This window comes from Homo sapiens, chromosome 15 (genome assembly GCF_000001405.40).
Source record: "Homo sapiens chromosome 15, GRCh38.p14 Primary Assembly".
NCBI lineage: Eukaryota > Metazoa > Chordata > Mammalia > Primates > Hominidae > Homo > Homo sapiens.
The window spans coordinates 27,153,866-27,179,143 of NC_000015.10; the positions used below are offsets into that span (position 1 = coordinate 27,153,866).

The 25,278-nt window shown below is 42.0% G+C and overlaps 1 protein-coding gene and 1 long non-coding RNA gene across 3 annotated transcripts in view, besides 1 other annotated feature; one reads left to right on the forward strand and one right to left on the reverse strand.

Moving 5' to 3' along the window:
- The window catches only part of GABRG3 (gamma-aminobutyric acid type A receptor subunit gamma3), a 570,804-nt gene that overhangs the window by 182,685 nt on the left and 362,841 nt on the right, over positions 1-25,278 (forward strand). The gene's annotated exons all lie outside the window — the stretch shown is intronic.
- Positions 3,870-7,454, reverse strand: GABRG3-AS1 (GABRG3 antisense RNA 1). Its single transcript, NR_120343.1, has 3 exons — positions 7,157-7,454; positions 4,401-4,531; positions 3,870-4,290 (listed from the first exon to the last, which is right to left on the reverse strand). It is a non-coding gene; the product is annotated as a GABRG3 antisense RNA 1 (long non-coding RNA).
- Positions 23,277-23,571: a silencer, noted in NCBI's record as "tiled region #5301; HepG2 Repressive non-DNase unmatched - State 24:Quies". NCBI's record gives its function as "represses a minimal TATA promoter and a strong SV40 promoter by Sharpr-MPRA in HepG2 cells {active_cell/tissue: HepG2}" and the evidence as "EXISTENCE:reporter gene assay evidence [ECO:0000049][PMID:27701403]".

Genomic DNA, 25,278 nt, shown 5'->3' on the forward strand with positions numbered 1-25,278 from the left:
ATCATTCTACTCCGATGTTTGCTTTCTCTCTTCAGATTGTGTTTTTTCTTGCCTTTTGACATCACTTGTAAATTTTAGATGAAAGGAAGACATGATACATCAGTAACAGGAAGTGAGGTAAATAGGCCATTTGTGTGAGGCTTTATGTTAACCTTACTAGGAGTTGGGCTGTGCTTAGTATTTGTTGCAGTATATGTAACAGGAACTCCAAATTCTTTATTTTTGCCTCCCCTTCCTGTCTTTTGGCTTCCTTAAGAATCCCTCCTTGTATAGAATCTGCACCTTGAGGTCTTTCAGCTGTAAACTAATGTTATTTATTATAGTGGAGCCCTGTTGATATGTGGCATGGTGTAGCAAGAGGGGAAATTTATATTATCTTATGATCAAATCTGTCTTTTAGTAGCCCTGTATCTTCAGGCTGACTAAATTTTGGTCAAGCAGAGAATCTTTTTCAGTGCCTTTTATTTCTTTCTTTTGCCTTCTTACACTGGCTAGATCTTCTAGTACTGTGATGAATGAGAGTTGAGAGTGGGCATCCCTGAATTGCTACTGAGCTCAAGGGGGGAAATATTCAGTAACTCACCATTACCTGCAATGTTTACTCTATGTTGTAGATGTTTATCAAGTTGAGGAAGTTCTCCTCTGTTCAGTTTGCTGAGAGGTTTTACTAAGAATGGGTGTTGCATTTTGTTTGATACTTGCTCTGCATTGTGACTTATCCAATCATGTTATTTTTCTTCTTGAGCCTGTTAATGTGGAAGATTATATTGATTGATTTTTGAATATTGCATCAGCCAGGAATCCTTGGAATAAACCCCGTGTGGTCATTGTATATAATTATTTTTATATGTTCCTGAATTCTGTTTGTTAATATGTATCTTTAAGGTTTATGCACATATATTCATGAGGAATATTGGTTTATACTTTTTTTTGTCCTTGTCTCTATTATTTTGATATCAGGATGATGGGGCTTCATAAAATTAATTAAATTTAGCAACGTTCCTTCCTTATCTATTTTCTGGAAGAGATTGTATATAATTTGTATTATATTTTTAATATTTGGTAGAATTCTCCTGTAATTGACATGCTTTCTGTCAATTTTTGAGTACTTTTTCATCCTTACTGTCTTTCCATTCTTCCTGGACTTCCATGACACAAATACTAGATCTTTTGTCTGACTGGTCTCTGAGGCTCTGTTTATTTTTTCAGTCTGTTTTCTTGCTGGTTTTTCAGATTGTGCAGTTTCTATTGTTTTATATTAAGTTCCACTGATTCTTTCCTCTTTCCTCAATTCTGCTGCTGAATGCACCAGTGAAGGCTTTTAAAAATTATTTTTGTCATCAAATTTTTTAGTGCTAAGATTTTCACTGGGGTCTTCTTTATGTCTTCTACTGAGAGTTTGTTTCTTTGCTGAGCCTTTTTATTTTTTCATTTGTCTCAAGCATATTAGTAATTGCTTGTTGAAACATTTTTGTGATGGCTGCTTTTATCTTTTATTATTTTTTAAAATCTTTGCCACATAATTTTAACATCTTTGCCTTCTTGGTATAGATGTCAACTGATTATCTTTTTTCCTTCAGTTTGAGAACTTTCTGGTTCTTGGTAGAATGGGCTGAGTGTTTTTCAGTTGAAAACTGAACATTTCAGATATTATTTTATGCAACAGTCTATCTTATTTAAGCTGTCTGTTTTGGCGTTCTGCAACAGCACTCTGGTGGAAAGGGAGTTGGAGTTCATCACTTCCAGGTTGCTACAGAAGTCCAGTTTCCGTCCTTGGGTTTATTTATTGGGTTTATTTACCCTTGGAGGCTGTCTCCTAATCATTGCTGGATAGGGAGGGAGTTCTAGCTTCCCTCTAGGTCCCTGCAGATAGTGTGCTGGCTGGACGGGTACAAGTACCTGCTTCCACGTGGTCTCCAACTATATCATTAGGAGAGGAAGCTCATTACTGTTTAGAGGAAATCAAACGCCTGTCTCCCTCGTCAGCACTCTCTGAAACCACCTTAGTTGAGGGATGGATGCCTTATTGTAGCCCAGTAAGGGTAGAATTCAGGGCTCCTTACTCAGCCTTTGTGAGCGAAGCCAAGTCCACCATTTTATCTATTCTGTTTGGCTAGAAAAGAGTGGTTATTGTTTAAAAGTATTCTGTCGTGGCCAGGCACAGTGGCTCATGCCTGTGATCCCAGCACTTCGGGAGGCTGAGGCAGGCGGATCATGAGGTCAAGAGATCGAGACCATCCTGGCTAACACGGTGAAACCCTGTCTCTACTAAAAATACAAAAAATTAGCTGGGTGTGGTGGTGGGCGCCAGTAGTCCCAGTTACTTGGGAGGCTGAGGCAGGAGAATGGCATGAACCCGGGAGGTGGAGCTTGCAGTGAGCCGAGTTCAAGCCACTGCACTCCAGCCTGAGTGACAGAGCGACACTCTGTCTCAAAAAAAAAAAAAAAAAAAAAAAGAAAGAAATAGAAGTATTCTGTCTTGTTAGGATGCCCCTTTACTTGTCCTTTAACTAGAGAGAGCTGGCTTCTGTTGAGAATTTTTAAAATTCCCATGCATTGGTGTGTCTGAGTTTTTAGCTTCTTCAGTTCCAAATCTGGAATGAAACGAAAAGCAAAGAAAGCCCAAGATACTCGCTACCATGTCATCCCTTGGGTCCTGATGCCCTAACTGGTTTGCCTTTTGTCTAATTCTCAGTCTTATTATGATTGTTTTACATGTAATATCCAGGGATTTTAGTTGCATTTAGCAAGAAAAGTAGAGACAAGTATGTCTCTTCCATCTTACCAAAATGAAATGGATTTATATTTTAAAAAATTTTCCTCAGCTCACTGTTTTCTTGACAAGAGAAATTTTTGATTTTGGTTGAAGATGAATTTGTTTTCCAGCTTTTACTCTGAAGGTGATCAGCAGTCAGAGTTTTGTTCAGCAATAGGGCCATGAACATTTGGAACTTACAGATAGAATTCGATGGTGTGGAGTGTTTTCCTGTCTTTTACAGGCTTATTTGCCACCACTGATTTCTAAGCAGTTCATGCTTTGAAGAAATCCACACCTGACAAGTCATTTCTTCCCATCATTTTCCTGCCTGCCTGTGACTTATGTGTAGAATGACATTATTTTCTAAAAGCAGAGTTGCAGGAGATGAAGACTCCCTCCCCCAGCCCCAAGTCCAACAGAGAAAGAATCATATTTCTGAAGTGGAAGAGAAGAATATGTTATTGGAAAAATTATTTGCACTTGCAGGTAGAGAGTATTGCACTATAAAAAATGAAACACAGATGACTCGAATTCAATTGCTGCATGTCTGGAATGGAAGATTGGGAACTTATATTTGGGAAAAGAAAAAGACTGAATTCTTTTTAAAAATTATAGTTTGCAAACTCATAAGATTTATCTAGCGTTAAACAAATCCTTAGGGCACTGGAGTTTTATTCCCATGTGATAGTTTTCCCCATAATAGTTGGTAATATATGAAATGTAAGTTTTTCAGGATTCAAATACAGGAATCATAAGCTGAAGAAAAGCCAGTAATCATTTGTCATTTGACAGCAGTGGATTAAAAATAATAGACTTGAATTTCTTTAGGCCCTTCCCGTATTTCATATGCCCCCTGTTGTCTATACCCCTGCCTTTCACATATTTTGTTATCAACCTGAACTTTACAAAGCATGTGAGATACTTACCCTTGTGCTCAAGTCAATCCTGAGCTTGGAGAGTAGGCAGACAGGTTCCAACTCTAGTTTGGCCATTACTACCTATGTGACACTGGGTAAGTTATCAGTCTAACCTCCTTACCTATACACTGAGGGTAATAATATAACCTGCCTTAGCGATAGTTCTTACGCAGACATATTGCAATATCAACGCATAAGTGCTCATCATCTTAATCATTACTGTAGTGAGACATCACAACAGACAAGGCACAATATAAGACTGTGTGCACAGTGTCAGAAGTTCTGATGTTTGATAGCAGCTCCCCAAATGTCCTGTTCATGGAGGTCCCTTGCTGAATATAAATGATAACCTGCTTGTTCCATGTGCAGTCATTCATACTCCATGGAATCCTGCCTCACTTTCCTGAATGAAGTGGGTGGCGTTCTTACATTCTTAGTCAGCTCACAAGTACTTCCTGGGCATCCACTTCTAGTACGCAGGCTCTGGCTTCTGGCTGTTAAACAGTGAACCAGACTATGAGCTGGCTCTCCGGGTTTTTTCCTTTGCTTTCTTGGGTCAGGTGAAGTTTTCAGGTGGGAGGAACTTCAGGGATGCAGGTGGAAGGGGAAATACAGCTGCGAGGAATAAGACCTGAGTTGAAAGCTATTTAATACATGGAAAATGGTCTGGTTGATTTAGGGTAAATTACACCAGGACAGAGAAATAGGAGGAAGATAAAATATACCTGGATCTGTAAATTAGACACTGAAGGACATTGTGCAACAGTGGACGGACAGCATCCATGGTGGGGGTGGATGTGTCAAGTCTGTCATTTGGTGCCGAGCCCCTCAATTAAAACCCATACTGATCCTGTACCTAAGAGTCCATGAAGAAGTGACTGTTAAAGATGATTTTCCCTTATTCCATGTTTATTTCAAAGTGATTTTTCATTTACTCTCAAATTATACTTATAAATACTGTTTACATTTGCTTTATGTTAAAGATTTTGTGCAATTATAGCAGTAATTAAAAGGAATTACAATAATCATACCTGTTTTCATAAGATTTCTATCTGAGAGAGACAAATTATTTTATCTTCACCATGGACCTGGGATGAGTTTCTTTTTAAATAATGTGCCAAGGGTTAGAATAAACTGCTATGTAGCTAAGTTAAAAATTTAATAACAAATAAATGGCATTATTGTCAAATATTAAAAAAGGAAAAATAAAACCTTCACTATTTCCATGATAAACCATGTCATGTGGGGAATACCTCCTTATTAGGTGAACACATCTTACAGCTGAAATTTTTCGTATGGCAAATTACCACCTGAATATTTATTTAGAGAATGGTCTCTCATTTCACTCTAGTTTGAAAGATGTTGTCTTTAAAGCCATCATATTCCTCACCCACACACACTGCCCACCTGTTTCCACCAAAGTGCTGTACTTCATCAGCCACAGGCCATTGTAGTCAGGAAGTCATGTACAGTGTTCTCTCCAAACCGCTCACTTTGCTTATGGCACCTACAAAGGACTTTATTTTTTATTTTCTCCTCCCTCTTCCTCCACGCCCTCCTCCTCCATGTTCTGCTATAAAACTTATATTTATCTAAGCAATTTAATTTTTATGGTTAAAAGAATAAGATAATACTAAAAGACTCAAAAAGAAAAATACAGGCCGGGCATGGTGGTTCACGCCTATAATCCCAGCACTTTGGAAGTACGAGGCAGGTGAATCACTTGAGCTCAGGAGTTCAAGACCAATCTGACCAACATGGCAAAACCCCATCTCTACTAAAATTACAAAATTTGGCCAAGTGTGCTGGTGCGCACCTGTAATCCCAGCTACTGGGGAGACTGAGGCATGAGAATCGCTTGAACCTGGGAGGTGGAGATTGCAGTGATCCGAGATTGCGCCACTGCACTTCAGCCTGGGCAATAGAGTGAGACTCCATCTTAAAAAAAAAAAAGTGCAGCTCCCTCCATCCTGCCTGAACCTGGGTTCATTTTCCATTCTTTAAGGGATTTCTTCTCTTATTTTCCATCATGTTCCTAGTAATATCCTTATATGAACATTTGATTATTCGTTCTCAGCTACATTGATGCCTCCTGGAAACGCTAGACTTTCCCTGTCTTACACTCTACCCATTTTCCCCTTTTGTTCCCCCGCTCACCTTCCAAAACAATCATGAACCAAGATTTGGTCAGATACACATTCCCTGCTTACAATGTTACAGTCATGTAATTACTGAACTTTGCAGAATGTCCTAGTGTGACCTGCTTACCTTATGGGGAGGAGGTCGCATAGATTATGTTTGTCCAGAAGGCGATTAAGTCCCTTTAAAAGAAAATAATGTCTGACATCCAAGCACTGTAGTGTTTTGTTGGCAGCTGTGATGGAAGCACACAGCCCTCTCCATGGGTTGGAAGGCTTTAGCCAACCTCCATGGCCACAGACTCAGATTACCCTCCCTCCCATTCCCACAGGGCTGCCTGCCACAGTGGCCCACCTGAACCCCTCACTGTCATACTGCAAGACCCTCCTGCTCTTTCCTGGGTGGACTCCCTGGTTCCCCACCAGATCTTCCCAGTCTTGGTCATTCTGCTTCCTTACTTTGGTGGAGAATATTCTCCAGGAATCTTCTGAGGAATGTTGCATGGAAGGTAACTTTGTGAATGGGTAGAAAATAATTTCCCCTGAGAGTTGTGCAAACATAGATCCACTGCTTGTGGGTGAGTTCTGGGCCATCTTTCCTTAGGTCAGTCTGATTGTGAGCTGCTTCTTGCCCCAACCCCCTTTATCCTCAGCCACAACCAGAAAGGTCTTCCCCCTTTTATTCTGGAATTTCAAATGGTAGTATTTCTGATTTTCTTTTCATATGCCATGGACTAGGCAAGTCTTAACTATATGTAAAGTCATTTGATTATTGAGATTGTTTGGTATTATTTCTTTGATAATTCTTTTATTACTTTTCTCTTTTATAAGACTTCTCTGTTTGGTTTTATGCTAGTTTTTGGGAAATCCCTTCAAATTTACCTTCCAACTACTGATTTTTTTTTAATTTCTGAAGGATCTTTCTAATACTTAGGATGTTTCTTTTTTACAGCATCCTCCTGTTATTTCAATGAACCAGTAACTTTTTTTTTTTCTTTTGGAGGATCTTAACCATAGTTTCTGGAAGTTTTCTTCTGGTCTCACATTGCTTCTGTTTGTTTTGGAGTACATCATTCATGATAGAGCATTTCCCTACTGGCCTCTCATGAATAAGTAGATATGAAGCACTCCTGGCTGGTTGGAAGTTCTCTATGGGCCTCATATTAGGATGAAAACTGGGAATTTCAGAGAAGTACTGCTTGTTAGTATTTCCAGGTCTTTTTACTTTGGCTTGTTAATTTCCTCAGATGGAAGATTTTTTTTTTTCTATTGTTGCCTGGGAAGTTGCAAACCTACAGACAAAATGCTGGGAGCCTGTCAAGGAAAGGGGCTGGTGCACCCACCTGTTGTCTCTGTATGTCACTGAATCCAGGGTTTCTCTGAGTCAGCCTCCAATCAACAGCTCTGTGGCTCGGGAATCTTGAGTTCTCTTTCTTCTGTTTTGGACCCATCGTATGTTACTACTTAGAGATACGTGGAACCTCCAACTCCTGTGGTCCTTCAGAGTTTCCCCTGTCAAAACCTATGATGGTCTGAGATGTTACCTTACTTGAAAGCTAGTAAGTTGGCCTGCCATAGTGTCATGGTTTCTGGAAGAAGACAAGAGATGCCTGGGTCAGAGACAAAGGACATTGTTACACTGTAGGCATTGATGTCACAGCAGGCATTGTGAGCTTCATGTTTGCCTCTGTTCTCCTTGCCCCCCAAGTTCCATGGGGGCAGTGTGAAACAGCCAACCAGTTTGTGCCACAGCAGAGGAACCCTGAACTTAGGAAACCTCCATCTTTTACAATGTCTGCATACGTTTTTAATGATGCTTTTTGATGAAGAAAAGCTCTTAAAGAAGTTAAATTTGCTTGCCAATGTTTTTTCTTTTATGTTTAGTGTTTTTGATGTCCTATTTACAAGTTATTTGCTTATTTAAAAGTCATATACATTTGTATTTGCTTTTTTCTTAAAATTTGAATACTTTAGCATTTTGAATATATTAGCATTCACATTTTGGTCTGTAATTCACCTCAAATTAATTTTTACTTGTGGTATGAGGTAGGAGTTCAAGGTTCATGTTTTTCTCTTCATACTGATATCTAGTTGCTACAGGAACACGTATTAGAAAAATTAGTTTAAAGCATGTGCAGAATCTTAAAGACCAGGAAGGTGATACTGTAGTTAATACATCACAGCTTCTATAAACTAAAGGATGTGAAACCTAATGCAGCTGCCATTATTGTGTGCTACCAAATGACAGGCTCTTCAAAGGAAACAAAGATAAAAGATATCCTCCCTGTCTTTAAGGAACTTAAAAATATATGCATAGAAATAAACTTACACATACACTATAATTTTATTTATAAAAGTGAAGGGAAAATTTATGCAATAAAACTGATAATGATTCTCTAAGACTGTTTACAGCTTACTAGTACTGAAGTTGTCCCATCTGACCCAAAATATCTGGGGATGCTTAGGAAAAAATTAAGGATATAGGAAGAATTGTATATTATGACATATTGAGGAATTTCCTGGGAGAGAGCCCAACCCAAGGACGGTGAACTTGATTCATTAGCAAAGCTTTGGTCCACAGAGTTAGGGATCACGCTGAGTGTAGCATTTGGTACTCTGTTCACTCCTTGGGTACCTGAGAAGGAGGTGGTAAGGGGAAAGCTAAAACTGTTTCACTGAAATCATGGTAAGGTATTGACATGGTAAAGCAGCCATACTTTTGGCCTTCTTAGATATGGGTCTGTACAAAAGGATAAAGTGAATATCTCCTCCCTGTGCCACTGGCCACTGTGCAGCTTTGGTCCTCTTGGGCTAGATGGAATGGTAGTGGCACTTTTTTGACTTGGTAGGTAGGGGCCAGATCGGGTGCAGTACCTGGCAGTAATGGATATCAATGGTATCCAATGGAGAAACACGCCAAATGGAAAAGGGAGTACCTAGGGTTTGCTAGAATTGGAATAGGGAAAGAAAATGGGCATCACAGGATGACTGGCCAGAGACTGGACTGGGCCTGCTCCTTAGCATGTGTGAAGCATCTTCTGATGCCCCTAGATATAGCTGATGAGCTGAAGAAACATTGGCAGGAGGTATGAGGGTTCTGCATTCACAGTTGGGATAAGGGACCAGCAGAAAATTAGCTTGCACACATAAGGGTAAGGCAACATCATTGTTTTCAGAATTCAAAACATTGAAATCCTCTTACTTATTTGATCTTAGTAGCAACCCAAGGGACTGCAGCTGTTTTTCTAAAATGAAGAGCTCCACGTGATCACGTGGAGGTTACGAGATTCACCTACAATCTTAGTAGGTGACCCAGCTCTGGAGCCTGGGCTGGTGGCCATCACTTTCACTCTACCTCTTCTTGCCCTCGCCAGTCTCAGTGTCCCATGTGGCTGCTCCCTACATTACCTCTCAGCTCCCCCGACCCACCTGCCTACCAAGCCTGGTCCCAGATGAACTCTGCTGAAATACACCTCTCACCATGTCTCATCTCTACTCAGTATCCTCAGAGACTCCTACTGCCCTCTAAATTAAATCTAGGCTGGGCACCGTGGCTCATGCCTGTAGTTCCAACACTTTGGAAAACCAAGGAGGGAGGATTTCTTGAGGGCAGGACTTGTGTTCAGCCTGGGCAACTTAGCCTCAGCCTCCCAAGTAGCTAGGACTGCAGGCACATGTCACTATGCCCAGCTAATTTTCCTATTTTTTTGTATAGATAGGGTCTTGCTCTGTTGCCCTGGCTCCAGAGTGGGGTCACCTACTAAGATTGTAGGCAAATCTCATAACCTCCATGTGATCACATGGAGCATTTCATTTTAGAAAAACAGCTGCAATCTCTTGGGCTGTTACTAGGATCAAATAGGTAATAGGCCGAGACCAGAAGATTGGTTGAACCCAGGAATTTGAGGTTACAGTGAGCCTACGATTGTGCCACTGCACTCCAGTGAGACCCTGTCTCATAAATACATAAGTCAGTGCTTCTCAGCATGGTGGCCATATCCACACTCCATTTTTTATCTCTCACTCTCTCTAATTCTCCAGCCTGAGTGATTTCAATTTTCCAAACCTCTTGAGTGTCCCCAAAACTTTTGTGAACTTATCTCTCCTAATGTAAGCATCACTGTCTACCATGTGCGAGTGGGCTTGCTTGTCTTAACCATTCCATGAAGTAAACAGTTCTGTGTGGCAGGGAACGTGCAGGTCTTCTTGGCATCTCTCCCCTGCAGGGGCTGTGAGAGCCTGTGAGGGGTGCCAGTGTCGCTCAGCTGCACCTTAGGAGCGGACCAATTCAGTTACGGGGGGATGGAAGAAGGAAATGTCAGAGGGACCCATGTCCATGTTCGCAAGCAAATTTTATTGTAATTACACATAGAATAAATTAGAATGTTTCACACATAAACATTCCAAAATTGTTTTCCCACTTTTACTTGGAAAATGCTCAAATGTAAAGAAAAGCTGAAGAATAGTATAATAGACACCTATTTACTCTTCACCTAGATTAATTGTTATCCTTTACCACATTTACTGTCTCTCCAAACACACACACACACACAAACACAGCTTCTCTTTTGCCAATCCTTTGAAAATAAGTTGCAGACATTACATGTCAGTCCTGAATATTTCACATGTACCACCTAAGAATGAAAACATTCCCCCGCATACTCACAATACGGTAAATCAAAGTTGTCATTTAGTATCAAATCTACAGTCCAAAAATACTACTACCCCTAATGTTACTGTAATTGGTATTAGCACATTAGTGTTAGTATTAGCACACAAGACAAATAGTACTACTGGGTTCTCAGTTGCAGCTGAAAGATCTTTCATAGCTTTGATCCAGGTTTGATCCAGGAATCAAAGCTTCACCCTTGACATTTTTACTTGTTGTGTCTCTCCAGGCTCTTTTGATCTAGATTGGCACCCTCCTATTCAATTTGATGTATTTGTCATGACATTTACTTTCCTGAAGATTCCAGGGCAGTTATCTGTTAGACGGGTAAAATGTCCTGCATTCTGCAATATCTGATAGCTCTATGATGATGAGATTTACGTCGAACCTTTTGTGGCTGTAATATCACATTGGTGAAATCATTTTAGACATTAAGTATCAAGTATTGCACTGACTACTGTTTTGAAAGGGGATCTTCTCATCATAATCTGTACACATTCGTTAGTTCTTTACAAAATAAGGAAGTGATATTAATACAGGTGGGCTCCTCTCAGTGGAAAGTGATGTCTCTCGTATCAAGCGATGTTGCTTCATGAAGTGTTTAGAAAGCCAGTTCCAAAAGCAGATCAGTAATCAATCTTGGATAAGAACTTTTTTCAAACCATTCATATAAATGTTGTCCAAGACATTTAGGATGGCAAAAGTGCTTCTGAATATTTTTACTAGTGAAATTTGAAAAAAATATAGAATTTAGAATTTGACATACCAAAAACTGATGGTTCTTGAGATCAACCATTCAGGGCTATTTAGTTTCCTCTCCCAGATAATTTTCTTTCCTTTTTGCCTGATATGAGGCAGATGGAGTAGGGCTTCATGCCAGAGTACCTTGTTACTGGTGGTATGTTTACCGACAATTAGACTTCCAGCATTGGGCAGTGCTGGCGAGGTCACCTAACCCAGCATTCCACCTCCGCCCAGGCGCTGATCCCCACCAAGCACACAATGACCTCCATGACAAAGCCTCTGTGTCAGGGCATCTTTGACAATTGAAATGCTGGAAAATTCTGTGTGAAAATGTCCTCATTCTTTCACTGGTCAATCCAGGTTCTAGTTCTTGTCATGCTTTATCCACCTTAAAACCCTTCAAATATTTGAAGATTGCTCTTACATTCTCCAAAGATGTTCTTCTCCAGTGTTAGCATCCTGAGCTCCTTCTGCCTTTCCTCTTCAATCTCCCAAGTGCATCATTTCTGCTTGCTTTCTCTTTAACATGTGTGCTCTAGCATTCTGTCTCCCCTCTCTTCCTACAGTTCTTTCCTCACACAATAATTTAAGTCTGCCATGCACATGTCATGCCTGTGAAAACCAATATAAACTGCTGGTCCTTAGGGAGCTCACCAGTCAGTGAGAGGAGGATCAGGCCAGCAGAGGATGCTATTGACAGTGAGATGGTACCTGTCTGGGGCACCTGTCATACCTGTCGCAAAGGAGGAGGTGGTTGCTAGCCCTAGAGGAAGAAAAGGCAACCTCAGTATTGGAGGAGTGGCTGTTTTCTAGGTAGGGGTGGGCATGGCATAAGTCCAAGAAGTGAGAGATGTAAGAAGACATGCAAAGCTACAAAGCAGGGGAGAGCAAGACACCAGACAGTGGGATGGGGTGGGATGCAGCGAACCAGCACAGTGAGCCTTCTGAGCCTTTCTCAGTGGCTCTGATTACGTCTTTAGGCAATGCGAAGCTTGCAGAATGAGATTCACATTAGAGTGTAGTAACAGGGACAGACACACCTTTTATTTTAGAAGGAAGTTGGATGGAAAATGCATCCATATCCATCTCCATATGAGATAGTGAACTTTCTCAACTAATATTCAGATAATATTCAGAAATAACAGAGGGGAAAAGTACAAAAAGAAGTGTATTCTTCTTTTCTTTGAACAAATTTTCTTATGGTATCTCAGCTGATTGCAAATAGAGTATCACCATTAATTCCATTTTAGTATTGATTTGCTCTTTTAAAAAATCAATTTAAGAAATGCCCTAATGTGGACAACATCTTCTTCTTTGGGTTTTAGAGTGGTTTGTTATTTTGTAGGAAGAGTGAAAGGTGTTTCTGTCTTCTTCTTCCAAGCTTGAGACTCTTCAGGGGAGCCTCTAGGGTAATAAAGGTCTTGCAGGGAGGCCACTGCCTGCGCCCCTGGCTTGGCCCATGCATGAAGGCCGTGTGTGGAATGATGCCTTTCAGCTCCCATGACTCGCAGCCCACCCCCTACACCAGCAGGCACCAGCCACACCTATGATGTTCCAGCTTCCCGCAAGGAACTGGGATTGGGGTGGCAAAGCAAACAGCTCCTGCTGTTTCCTAGGAAATGAAGACACTCCACTTATTATTACAAATAGATTATGCAAATAAAATCACAATTTTACCCAGTGCAGCAAAGAAATCCATTATACTGCAGGGTGCATGTCTCAATGCAAAGACAAAGCACTGAGTTCCTTAGCACGTATTTTAAAGATGATAGGATGTCTCTTCTGGCCTGAAACCCACTCCCTTGTCACCTCCGAGGACTTCATGTTGCAACAAGACTCTTTATTGAAAACCGAAGAGAAACAGAGCTTTATTCTCCCTGGGTTTAACTCTCCTGCTCAGTGTGACCTGCACTAATTTTGCTCAGCTCTTCTGAGTAAATACTTCTTTAGCTATCAGCCCCTCTCTCCAGGCCCTCTCACATAGAGCAGGGGCTGTCTTCTCATGCCTGTGTCCCCGGCTACTGCACACCGAAAGCTTAGTCTCTGTGCTTTGTGCCTGTTGCCTGGGTGAATGGTTGAAGGGATGACTGCAGATAGCCCATGCCCGAGGTCCCCTGGGCCTCCTCTGTCATGGGCCCCCTGATTCTTTTCCTCTCTTTCCACATCTGCTAAAGTAAGAAGTACATTTGTCTTTTGTCCTTTAGAGCACTTGGCCATTTGAAAATTGCTTTCTCTCCCTGGACTTATCTGCTGTAGCTCCCGTGAGAAAGGCAGGGTGGACATTGTCATCCCATGTAGAGAAAGAGCACCCAAGGTGCAAAAACCAAAATTAAAACCAAGATGTCCTGGCTGGGCTCAGCTTAGCTGTGCTCACTGTCTGCTTCAGCACTGCCTGCATGTGGTGGGTGGCTCAGAGTGAGGCTATTGTTCTTAGTTAACAGAGGCTAAAACTAATCAGATTTTAAAAATAACATAAATCCCTCCACATACTACTAGTTGGAGCTCAAAAATGAGACCCCTCTCAAGGGCGCCCACCTGGAGTGTCCCAGAGGAAAGACAGCAGAGGAAACAGCTGCTCCTCCTCTGACGTCCTCACTCCAGCTAGGCCTCCCAGCTCTGCAGGCCTCCCCTCTGTCCTCAAGCCTGGTGAGGTGCACACCGGGAGAAAAGCTTCCAACTGGGAAGAAAGTGACTCTCTCTGATTGCGCTGCATCGGCTGCCAGGGTCCGTAGGGAAGGAGTGGCTGCACCCCATGGCAGTGGGGGTGGAGGTGCGATCAAGGCGATCACTGGTACTGTTACCCTGCACAGTGTGCAGGAACAGAGGCCCTGGCACCTGGGACTGCAGAAGAGGCTCCCTCGCAGTCAGATGCCCGCTAGGCGAGCAGAAGTGATGGAGGGACCCGGCCCAAATCTCACTCTAACACCAGCTGTGTAGCCATAGGAAGGTGACTCAGGGGACCCCCCTTTTCTTTATGGGAAAAACAGCACTTGGTCATAAAGCTGTTGTGAGTGATCTCTGAGACCTTTCTAAAGAAGCTCAGTTAAAAAAAAAAAAAGGGAAAACAGACATCTCCCAATACATGGCTTGACGTCCAAAACCACTTGATGTCATGGGGGAGCAGCTGGAGTTGAGAATGTGCTCATGCAGTGTGAGCATTTGAAGGTTGAAGCTCTCATTCAATCAGATTGAAGCTCTCATTTTTATCATGTTGAAACTCTCATTCAATACCTAAGTTCCCTCCACCACTCCCCAGCAGGCAGTCGCCCCACACATGTCTGAACACACACCGTGATTAAGCAAGTTCCCCTGTGAAGGGCACAACGTTCAGTTGTTTAGGTAAGAAGTTTCTCCTTCTGTTTTTTCTTAGGACTCTTGTATCATCTGAATGTTTGTGACACCCCCCCACCCAAAAACAGTTCACACCATAAAGCCTGTCAACATAATGAACTATCAATCCAGAGTCAGCCCATCAACACAGTATCGCCTAAGGTGATGTGGTAGGAGGTGAGACCTTTGGGAGGTGTTAGGTCCCAGTGGGGAGCCTTCGTGAATGGGATTATTTCCCTCAAAAAGAAACTTCAGAAAGACATCTTATCCCTTCCACTGTGTGGGGACACAGCAAGAAGATGTGGTCTGTGAACCAGGAAGTGGGCCCTCACCAGACACCAAATCTGCTGGTATCTTGATCTTGGACTTTTCAGCCTTCAGAGCGATGAGAAATAAATTTCTCTTGTTTGTAAGTTGCCCAGTCCATATTATTCTGTCATAGCAGAATGAAAGGACTGAGAAAACCATTCTAGCCAAGTTCTTGCAGAGGAATTAAGCCCAGGCCTGAGGAGAGAGCCGTGCAGCCATGACCTAATGTGTTTGGCAGTCAGGTCCTTCTTGCTCTTTGTTAATGAGTCTATTAGAATAGATAGCTGAGCACACAATAGGCATGTGGGCCAAGTACTGTGCCAAGGACTGGGAGTGCAATGGTGAGCAAAATAGACATGGGCACTTGTCTTTGTGGAGCAAGACAAGTGCAGGGAAGAGCCACTAGTCTCATATTCACAGAAAACATACTTGTAGATATTGGTCAGTGCTACAGACAGATGTCATGAAATGTACAATGGGAGAATTTATCTGATTAGTAAAGGCAGAGTAGCCTTCCCTGGATAAGTGCTGGGTGTGTTGGAACCTGGAGGAATATCATGAGTTGAGCAAGTGAATTGTACTTGGGAGTGGAAGAGCACTTCCTGGGGAGGGAGGAGGAATACCTTGCAAAGGTGTGAGGCTGGGGAAGCACCGCCCATTGGAGGAACTGATTGAAGGCCAGTGAGTGAAAGGAGGGGAGGGACGAGAAGCATGTTGGTAGGTGGGTCTGGAAAGGTAGGTTAGGGATAGATCATTTGGGCCTGGTGAGTGCCGAAAGCTATGGGAACCATCTGAGGGGAGGCCGTGGTGATGGGGATGTGATCAAAACTGTGCTGCCGACATTTCCCATGGAGGTCACACACAAGAGGAGCTGCAGTCGATGACCAGCAACAGCATAGCCCAGCCTCTTTAGATAGCAGCCCTCCCGGCCACTCCATCTCGGCAGGCTCAGGCTGCCATAACAGAATACCACGGGCAGGGAGGCTTGGACAAAGGACATTTATTTCTCACAGTTCTTGAAAACTGGGAAAATCATACTCAAATTACTGAAAGACAAAGAAAAAAATCCAAAAGCAGCCAGAGGGGAAGAAAGACATTACACAGAGGAAAGGGAATGTTAGTGAAAAGATGCTTCTGCTATCACAGATACTGCAGACCAAAAACAATGGAAAAACATCCTAAGTACTGATGGAAGAGGGAGAGAGAGAGGAAAGAAATCTTACCAACAAAAATCCTGTATCCGGGAAAATACCTTTTAAAAATAAAGGTCAGATAAAGCTATTTTATGATTAACAAGTGAGAGAATTCATCACTAGCAGAATTGCATTACAAGAAACAGTCAAACTTCTTCAGATTGAAGGAAAATTATACCTTGGATGGAAACGGGAGCCTACTGAAGGAGTGGAGAGCTCAGACAAATGCAGACATGTGGGTAAATTTTTTCCATTCCTTCATTTCTTTAAAAGATGTTTGGCCATCTAAAGCAAAAATAGTTGAGTTTATAACATGGGTAGAAATGACATATGTGACAGCAATAGCCCAGAGGACAAGAGAGGGAAAGTGAAAATATACTGTTGTAAATCACATAGACCATGTAATGTGCACACAAGATGTTCTTTTGTAATAGATACTGATAAATATATACATATATGTATATATACATGTGTGTGCATACATATGTATATATATTATGAACCCTAGAGCCACCATTAAAAACAACACTGTGAGGTAAAGCTTAAGAGTCAATAAGGGAGATAAAGTAGAAACTCTAAAATGCTCAGCTGATCCAAAAGAAAACAAGAGAAGAAGACAGAACAAAAACAGATGGAACAAAGAGAAGAAAAAGCAGGATGAAAGACAGACAGAAACATATAAGTAATTATATCAAGTGTGAACAGACCAAATGCCTCAGTTAATAAGTTCATTCCATCAGTTTCCCAGTGGAGGTATCAGTGCTCTCAATTATTTTGAGAACATGACAGTGGAGGTGTGTTCCATGGACCATGTGAATCATGTAAAGAATGTAACAAATAAGATGTGGGCAAGAAATATATGATCTCATTTTTATTTTCGTAGCACTTTTCCTTAGTTGTCCTGAGTGTTTAAAATGGAAAGGCTGATGTAAAAATGTGCCAATTACCAGTGTATTATTTATGCGTCCCCAAATAGATTTTGAATCTCTCATCTCAAGCAATTTTCAAATTGAAAATATATAATTACTACTTTCAAGTCTGTCCCTTCCAGATTGGGCTTTTAGCACTCGCTCTTAGCTGACTCAGACGATTCATCAGGTGACAGAAAAGCAGGGAGCGGGGCACTGTCTGGTGCTGGCTGAGGATGCTGGGGACCAGAGGAGAGGACCAGTGTCTCACAGCCATGATGCTCAGGTTCACTGCTCAGCAGGGGCTGGGGGTGGGGTGAAAGCCTGGGCATCAAATGTTTCTGCTAAAATATAGTCTGTACACCTAGTAGGACTAATAAAACATCAGGCTTGTAGAATCCAGGCCCCTAGTTAAGAAATGAATTATAGCTTTGAATATCTGCATCAAATTTTTAATCATGGAATCCTTTCACTTTATTTCACCTTGTCTCTTAGTAGTAAATGAAAATTATGTTTTTATTTCCCCTGGCCTACCAATGTAAAAGCTAGAAATAAAGGAACGTTGTCGTACATAGATGCCCTCATTGAGTCACTACATTGAGTCACTTGGAAGTTCCCAAGACATATGCCATGCTATCACTTTTCTCCCCAAATTGTGTGTGTGTGCATGTCTAACATATATATATATATATACATATACAGATGTATACACATGTATATATATGTATATGTATATATATATATAGAGAGAGAGAGATGCTATACCAACAATTAGGAACATAATAGAAAGAAAAATATATTCCTTTTCTTGCTACCTGACACCATAGCTTTTGTCTGTTTCTGTCTAGTATGTGTATATATTCTTAGAGATGTTACCTAATTCTTAGGCCAACCAAGATACATATGTGTGGTGCCTGCTTGAGCCAGGCACTGCCTTTCTATGTGCAGTGAGGAACTATGAATAAAGGAGATTTTAGCTTCCAAGGTGTCTGTCTTACCTAATTTTCTACGACTGTAATAGAATATGCAGACTGGGTAATTTATAAAGAAAAGCTGTCTATTTGGCTTTTGGTTTTTGGAGGCTGGAAAGTCCAAGAGCATGGTGCTGGCATCTGGTGAGAGTCCTCCCGAGGTGGAAGGTGTCACATGCCGAATAAGCACGAAAGACAGAAAAACGGGGCCAAACTTACTTTAATCAGGAGCTCGCTCTTGTGATAACTGACCTGTTCCATGATCATGGCATGAATCCATTTGCCTGATAACCTCTTAAAAGCCATGCCTCTTAATACCATTACAATGGGAGTTAAATTTCAACATGAGTTTTGACAGGACATTCAACCCACAGCAGTGCTCAAAGGAGAAGAGTGTATACGTGGAGCAAAAATGTGATATGACGGGGCTAGGACAGTGTGGACAGGTGCATGGAAGGAAGTGTTATGATAAGTGAAGCTTTGCACAGGTCCTTGGAGTAGCCCTTTTGAAATCTTGGAAGGCTCCTTAGTTCTTAGTGTGCTTGTCACTTAGTGGCTTTCTTGGCTCTAGAGTTCCTCTGGGGATTGTCAGGACTGGGCTCTACGCTGACCCCACCCCCAACTCCCGCCACCACCCTTTCTTTCTCCCTTGGCTCTGAGCCCTTCACTTGACGTTTGTGAATGGGATTGTTTATCCTCAAATTTGCATACTGCACTTTTGCAAATTAAACTCCTCTGCGACACTCTGCTGCCCACTTCCACTGGCTGTTCGGCACTCAGAACATCATTACCTGGTCTCCTCTCTCTTCTAGCTGCAGGAAAAGACCTGGTCATCGCCTCCTGCAGTGTCCAGGTAGTTAATACATAACGGCCAACATGCACTTGAAACCTTAGTCCACAGTGAGCCAGAAGTGGCCACTGAATCCCTTTTAGTCAAGTTAAATATGACTGCAGACCCGGTTACCCAGGGCAGATGCCTTCCTGCCCTTCCAGGTATCCAGGGTTATTCTTGGTATTCTCAACTTTTGAGAAGGGCCCCCACTCCATAGACAGCGTCATCGTCCAGGTCTGTTCACCTGGAAGGAGGGAGCTCATTCCTCTCGGGCCAACTGTGATCCAGGATTAATTAGTGGGTCTGAGAACAGCTACCCTGAGTGAACCACACAAATGAGGCCGCCAGCAGCAATTTGTACCCTGCGTCATTTGGGTGGCCTGAATTCCACTCATTCATCTGTGAATGCACTTAAACAAACATTCCTCCTTCCTGCAAACTTCACTCTGGGATTAGGAGGTCTACATCACATCAAATGGTTAGATTCATCTCCTGTGACAGTGCATCTTAACACTCCATTCTAAAAGTCTAGAATCATTTTCTAGCTCTAAAGTTGATCTGTCAGGTCTTCCTTCCTGTTGTATTTTACCTACCTAATTTATTTCAAAATGTTCTGGATGTGATCTACTTTATAGTTGCAGAGAAATGTATGCAATTAGAGTCCCGTTAGCAGTACAGCAAAGAACTATTGCATCCTAACAGGGCTGCAGCACTGAGAAAGTAACTCAAACTTACATACCCATTATACCTCCTCCTTGGTTAATGATTCTAAGCCATCTGGATATGGGTTGATTTAGTTTTATTGAGAAAGAGAGAGAGATTCTGAACAGCATTCCTCGCTCCAAAATATTTTAAGAGTTTTCTTTTCACCTGAACCTAATTATAAATATGTATATTTGGAGTACTTTTCCCTTACCGTAACACTTGTAAGAAAATTTTGTTATGAAACATTTAGACCAGGCATGGTGCCTCATGTCTGTAATCCCAGTGCTTTGAGAGGCCAAAGCAGGAGGATCACTGGAAAAGAGTTCAGGAGAAGCCTGGGCAACAGAGCAAGATACTATCGCTGCCAAAAAAAAAAAAAAAAAAAATTAAACATTAGTGTGGCATGGTGGCTTGCACCTGTAGTACCATCGACTCAGGAGGCTGAGGCAGGAGCATCAGTTGAGCCCAAGAATTAGAAGTTACAGTGATCTGTGATCATGATACTGTACTCCATCCTGGGCAGCAGAGTGAGACTGTCTCTGAAAATAAAAAAAGAAGATAAAATGTTTAAATACCTACAACATCAAAGAAAACAGTATAATAAAACTCTGTTTACCTATCATCTGATTTGATAGCTATCAAGATGTTTTTGCACCTTTTGATATTTTTGATGGTGAAATATTTTAATGCAAACCCAGGCCTCTTATCATTTTGCTCCTACATACTTGAGAATTCATTGCTAAAAAATACGGACTTAAAAAAAAACGAATGGCAATGTTATTTTACTACCAACACAATTAGCAGCATTTCTCTGGCATCATGTCTTACCCAGCCCATCTCCAAACACCATTGTGTGGTTGCTTTGTTTAAATTAGTATCAGACTGTCCAGTGCATTTGGTGATACCCACATGTCTTTTGAGACATGTCCTTGATTCTCAAGCATTGATTTGTTCAAAAGATTTGTCTGCTTGCTTTCTCATGGTATCATTTAACTTGTTCTATTCCCCACATTTTCTGCATTTCATATGTTGTAACTCATCACAGGCCATTTTTTCCTCTTTTAATAGCCAGAATCCTTTGGTACAAAGCAGCTTTCCCTCATCAGTTAGAACTATTTGGTTCTCCCAGAAAGCCTATTGTACAGGAAAGGGAGGATAAATGCTGAAATCTCTCCCTTTATATTTGCTGAGTGGGTAGTGCCCTAGTTATCTCCAGTGTGGACCAGTGACTGCCTCTCTCTCTCGTCTCTCTCTCTCTCTCTCTCTCTCTCTCTCTCTCACTCTCACATCTTGTTGACTCTCATTATAAACTTGTAGGTCCTTATGTTTTCAATGCATTTTAATCAGATACCATCATTACTCTATATGATTCTCAGATTGTCCTATCTTTGGCTAACGGAAGCCCCTGCAAGTTGGCTTTCATGACTTTTGACCTCTCCTTAGTGGTCCTTGGGCATCACATGCTGTCCCAGCATTTCTGTACATTTCTTTACCAAGCCCTAGAATAGGTTGATCCTCTAAAAGGGACTCTGCCCCTCTCAGAGGGGAATGGCATTTAGAAAATACCATCTGACACCTTGGGCATCGGCACATGGACACGTGGGCATTGCTGTTAGGTCGTCACAGTTTCTAGAACCTTCCATTGCTCTGAGCTAGGAAATACATATTGTTTAAAACCAATCAGGACCAAGATTGGCCCCTAATCCTGTGTCTCTCGGCCTTCCAGGGGACCTTCTTCTGGGGATGGTGGGTTTTGCTGTTGTGAGGTCTCCCTGGCATGTGCTTCCTGTGCACCCCTCCCACCCAGGGCACTGGCTGTCTCCCTTACCCCAGGGCTTCTGCCCTGCTCGAGGAAGGTCCTACCTCCACCTGCAATGTGGAGCCTGCAGGACTCCCCCAGCCTTGTCACCACATGCTGTCTTATTGCCCCTGGTTTAGGGGGTATGTGTTTGTGGACAGCCTGTGGGGCTCAGGTGTCCCTTGCATCATCCACAGCCCTGACACCTTGGTGCTAACCCCTTGCAGGGCTCACTGAAGTAAGTGCTATGGCCACACTGCCAGTATTTGCGGGAGCAGGGGGTTTCCTGATACTTCTTTGTTTGCTTGTTTCTAAATATATCATCCATAGGTTTTCCAGGTTATCCTGTTAATCTGTTTGACTTGCAGTAAGAATTTGGAAAAATTCAGAAACACTGCAGCCACCCTGATTCCATTGCCCACTAATAATGTCTTTAACTAAAAGCAGTCTGATTAGACAAGAGCTAGACATGAGGCTCTCACGGGGACATTACTGGCATTCCCAGTGGAGACGATAAAACAAAGCAAATGGTAAATGGTAGGAAGCATGGCAAATGGGCCCACAGTACTCCAGACATCCCTTGAGATTGCCCTGGAGAGCAGATGCCTGCATTCTTTTCCCTGTACCATGCATTCTGACTTTTGTGCTAAGAATAATTTAGTTGTTGCTTTAAACATTCTAGTTCACCTGTAAGTGCTGGTTACAGTGAAGGAAAAGAGACATTGTTCCTTCCTCTGATCAGCCTGCTGAGCCTCCTCAGAGAGGCCTGGGCAGCAGGCCTGGGGCAAATTATGCACCAGAAAAGGCTTAGAGAGTCAGATCAGCTACTTTGCTTTAAAAAGGCATAGGGCATCAAGCTGGGATTCTGGCCTATGTAAACAGTATGCTGGGAAAAAAAAAAAAAAGAAAGAAAAAAGAAAACAAGCCAAAAATGCATTCTATAGCTCACATTTGAATGCTAATGAAAATTAAACCAGTTCCTTTTTTTAACTTTAAGAGACCACACAGCTTTTACTATGCTAATGTGTAATGTGAATTTCTCAAAGAGCTAGCCTTCAGCATTTCCCATGCTAACTTAAACCACTCATCCCTTTTTATGCCTTTATTTTAAGAGTTCCACCTCTTTCTAAATCCATGCTCCCACAAAGCACTAGTGCAAGTTGAGTGCTGTAGGGGCTATTGTGCTTATTAGCACCAAAACGCTGAGTTCAATAAAAGTAATAGTATTTCTTTTCTAACCACTCATTTTCTGAACCAGTGTTTACTGAATAGCTTAGTGTTGTTCTAGGTTATGCCAAAGGATCTTAAGCTTAGGACTCTACTTTCAAGGAGACACAAGTGTTAATGAATCATGATAATAAAACATGAGGAGTACCAGCAGTTATGGAGTATAAGGAACTGCAAGTAAAGGCATGAGTGATCCTGTGCTAAGAATAACAGTTGTCACTTTAAACATCTCTAGTGATTGACTCTGCCTTAGAAAGTCAGGAAGGCTGCCCAGAAGAGGTGACCAGAAGGTCCAAGTTCTAGAACTTGCATGAAGGTCCTGGGCTTTGTTACCCTTGCCCTAGCCAGGCATCACAGGACAGTAGCATTGATAGAGGCTGGCATGGGGGCTTTTGAAGGAAGTATCTAGAGTCAAAAAAGACTTAGGGCATGCCATAGGGTGGGGAGCTGAGGGAGCTGGGGATGGGCAGCCCAGCTACCTGCGTTTACTATTATGTGCTGGAAAGAGAGCTTGGAAAATGCTAGAGATGAGATGCTGAACTCACTGTCTAACCACCCGACAGTTTCTTGCCCACTGCATAGAAAAGCCAATACACTGAGACAGCAGTGTTGCAATAGAGAGAAAGAGTTTAATTATTGCAAGGCTATTTAGTGGGAGGACAAGAGATATTTTTATAATCATTCTCCCCGAGAACTCAGAGGCTAGGGTTTTTAAGGATAACTTGATGTGCAGGGGGCTAGAGAATAGGTACTGCTGATTTGGTGGGGATGAAGTCACAGGAGTGGCAACACTGTCTTTGTGTGCTGAGTCAATTTCTTGGGCAGCAGCTTATAGGACTGGTTGAGTCAGATCCTTGGTATGAGTTACAGGTCCAGGGGAAGTCAGTTGGTTGCCACAATGCAAAAGTCTGAGAAATATCTCAAAACCAGTCTTAGGTTTTACGATAGTGTTGTTATCTAAAGGAGCAACTGGGGCAGCTAAAAATCTTGTGACCTCCAGCTACATGACTCTTGAGTGGTAAGCAATTATAGAATAGCAAGCAGCTTATCATTTTACTATGCCTATATTTTAGCAGTATTCAAGCCCCATGATCCTAACTTTGGCCTTTTGTTAGTCTTACAAAGGTGGTTTTAGCCCCCAGAGGGGGTCAGTTTTGGGAAGGGACTGTTATCATTCTTGCTTCAAAGTTAAGTTATAAACTAAATTCCTCTCATAGTTAGTTTGGCCTATGCTCAGGAATGAACAAGGGCAGTTATCTTGTGAGGTTAGAAGCAAGATGGAGTTAACTGAGTTTGATTTCTCTTGCTGTTATAATTTTTACAAAGACAATTTCAACTGTTTGATTTTAAATAAGGTAGCAAAATAGCCTCAGAGACTGAGTCAAAGAAAACCAGAGCTGGGCAGTGGTGAAAGCAATAAAAACAGATTTTGTTTTGGACTATTGCAGTAAGGGAAAAGAAGCCTCAGAATAGAACTGGGCTCAACTCTGGACACAGCATGGGCAAGTAGGAATTTGTAGCCAATGAGCACAGTGGTGGTCAGAGGATGGAAAAATTACTAAGAAGAAACATCAAGGGGAAGGGAGATCCTGCCTAAACTCACCTAACAGGACTCTTGCCGGAAGCAGACCAGGGTGATAAGACATCTCCTGGGGGATGGTGGGTGGGAAGCTCAATCAGGTATTGAGGGGGGTCAGATACCCAGATGGAGGATTCTTGTCAATACTGGATTGCACAGGGATGTGCACAGGTGGGCCTTGTTGGGGAAAAGGTTCAGGAGCCTGACTAAAGTTTGGTCAAGAAGAGAATTTTTGTCAACTGTATCCAAGTTATTAACTCTTGGGCTAATGGAGTATTGTGTGGAAAGAGTTGATGGTTTGGTTGTGTGAGTCACACCTACCTGGTTGTCTGACTAGTTTTTGCAGTTCACTAGTTGTGGGATGCTCCTTAACAACTGTGATGTGCATTTCAATCTCTTGACAAAAACTCTGCAAGGATGCTGAAAAGATTAGCTTAAACAAATCCTGGAAAGCCATGCTTGGCATATCACAGGTTCTCCAAACGTGATAAGTATTATTCACTCATTTAATACTTGCTCTTGGTAAATGAACTGTACGGGGCCAAGGAAGAGCTTTCTCTTTGGCTCTCCGAAGGTTTGCTGAAAAGTCGGTTCACAAAAGGAAGGTTAATAGGAGAAAAGACATACACATTTATTTAACATGTATATACAATAACCTTCAGACTGAAGACCCAGAGACACGGGGGAGATTGTCTGTTTTTATAATTAGTTTCAACAAAATATGGACAGTTGTGTAGAAATATGATTAAACAAAAAGGGTGTGATCTAATGGTCATAGACTGAGTGGGAAAATACAGCAAGGCATATCGGTCTAGATTCTTCTTGGGTTCTCTGAAAACATATTCCTCTTTTCTGGGTATGAGGCAGGCCCCTCTCTAGAATGGGGGTCTGATGACCTACAGTCAAACAAAGTAGGGCAGATAATGTCTTTATGGGCCAGGTTTTACACAGATAGGGCAGAGGGAGTGGTACGTAATACTTTTTAGGGTTTATGGCTGGCTTTGTAGGAAAACAGGTTCTGGTTTCTATGACCTGCCTTGGGGAAGAGGGATTCTTGTTTCTATGGCAGCCTCAGAGGAGAATGGGACTGAGAGGAGAGCAGGAGAAGGTCAGAGGAAAACTTTTCTTTTTGGGGCCTTCATTTTGGGTTATAGTTTTCTATCCCCAATAAAACAAATAAACAAAGAAAACTCATGGAAG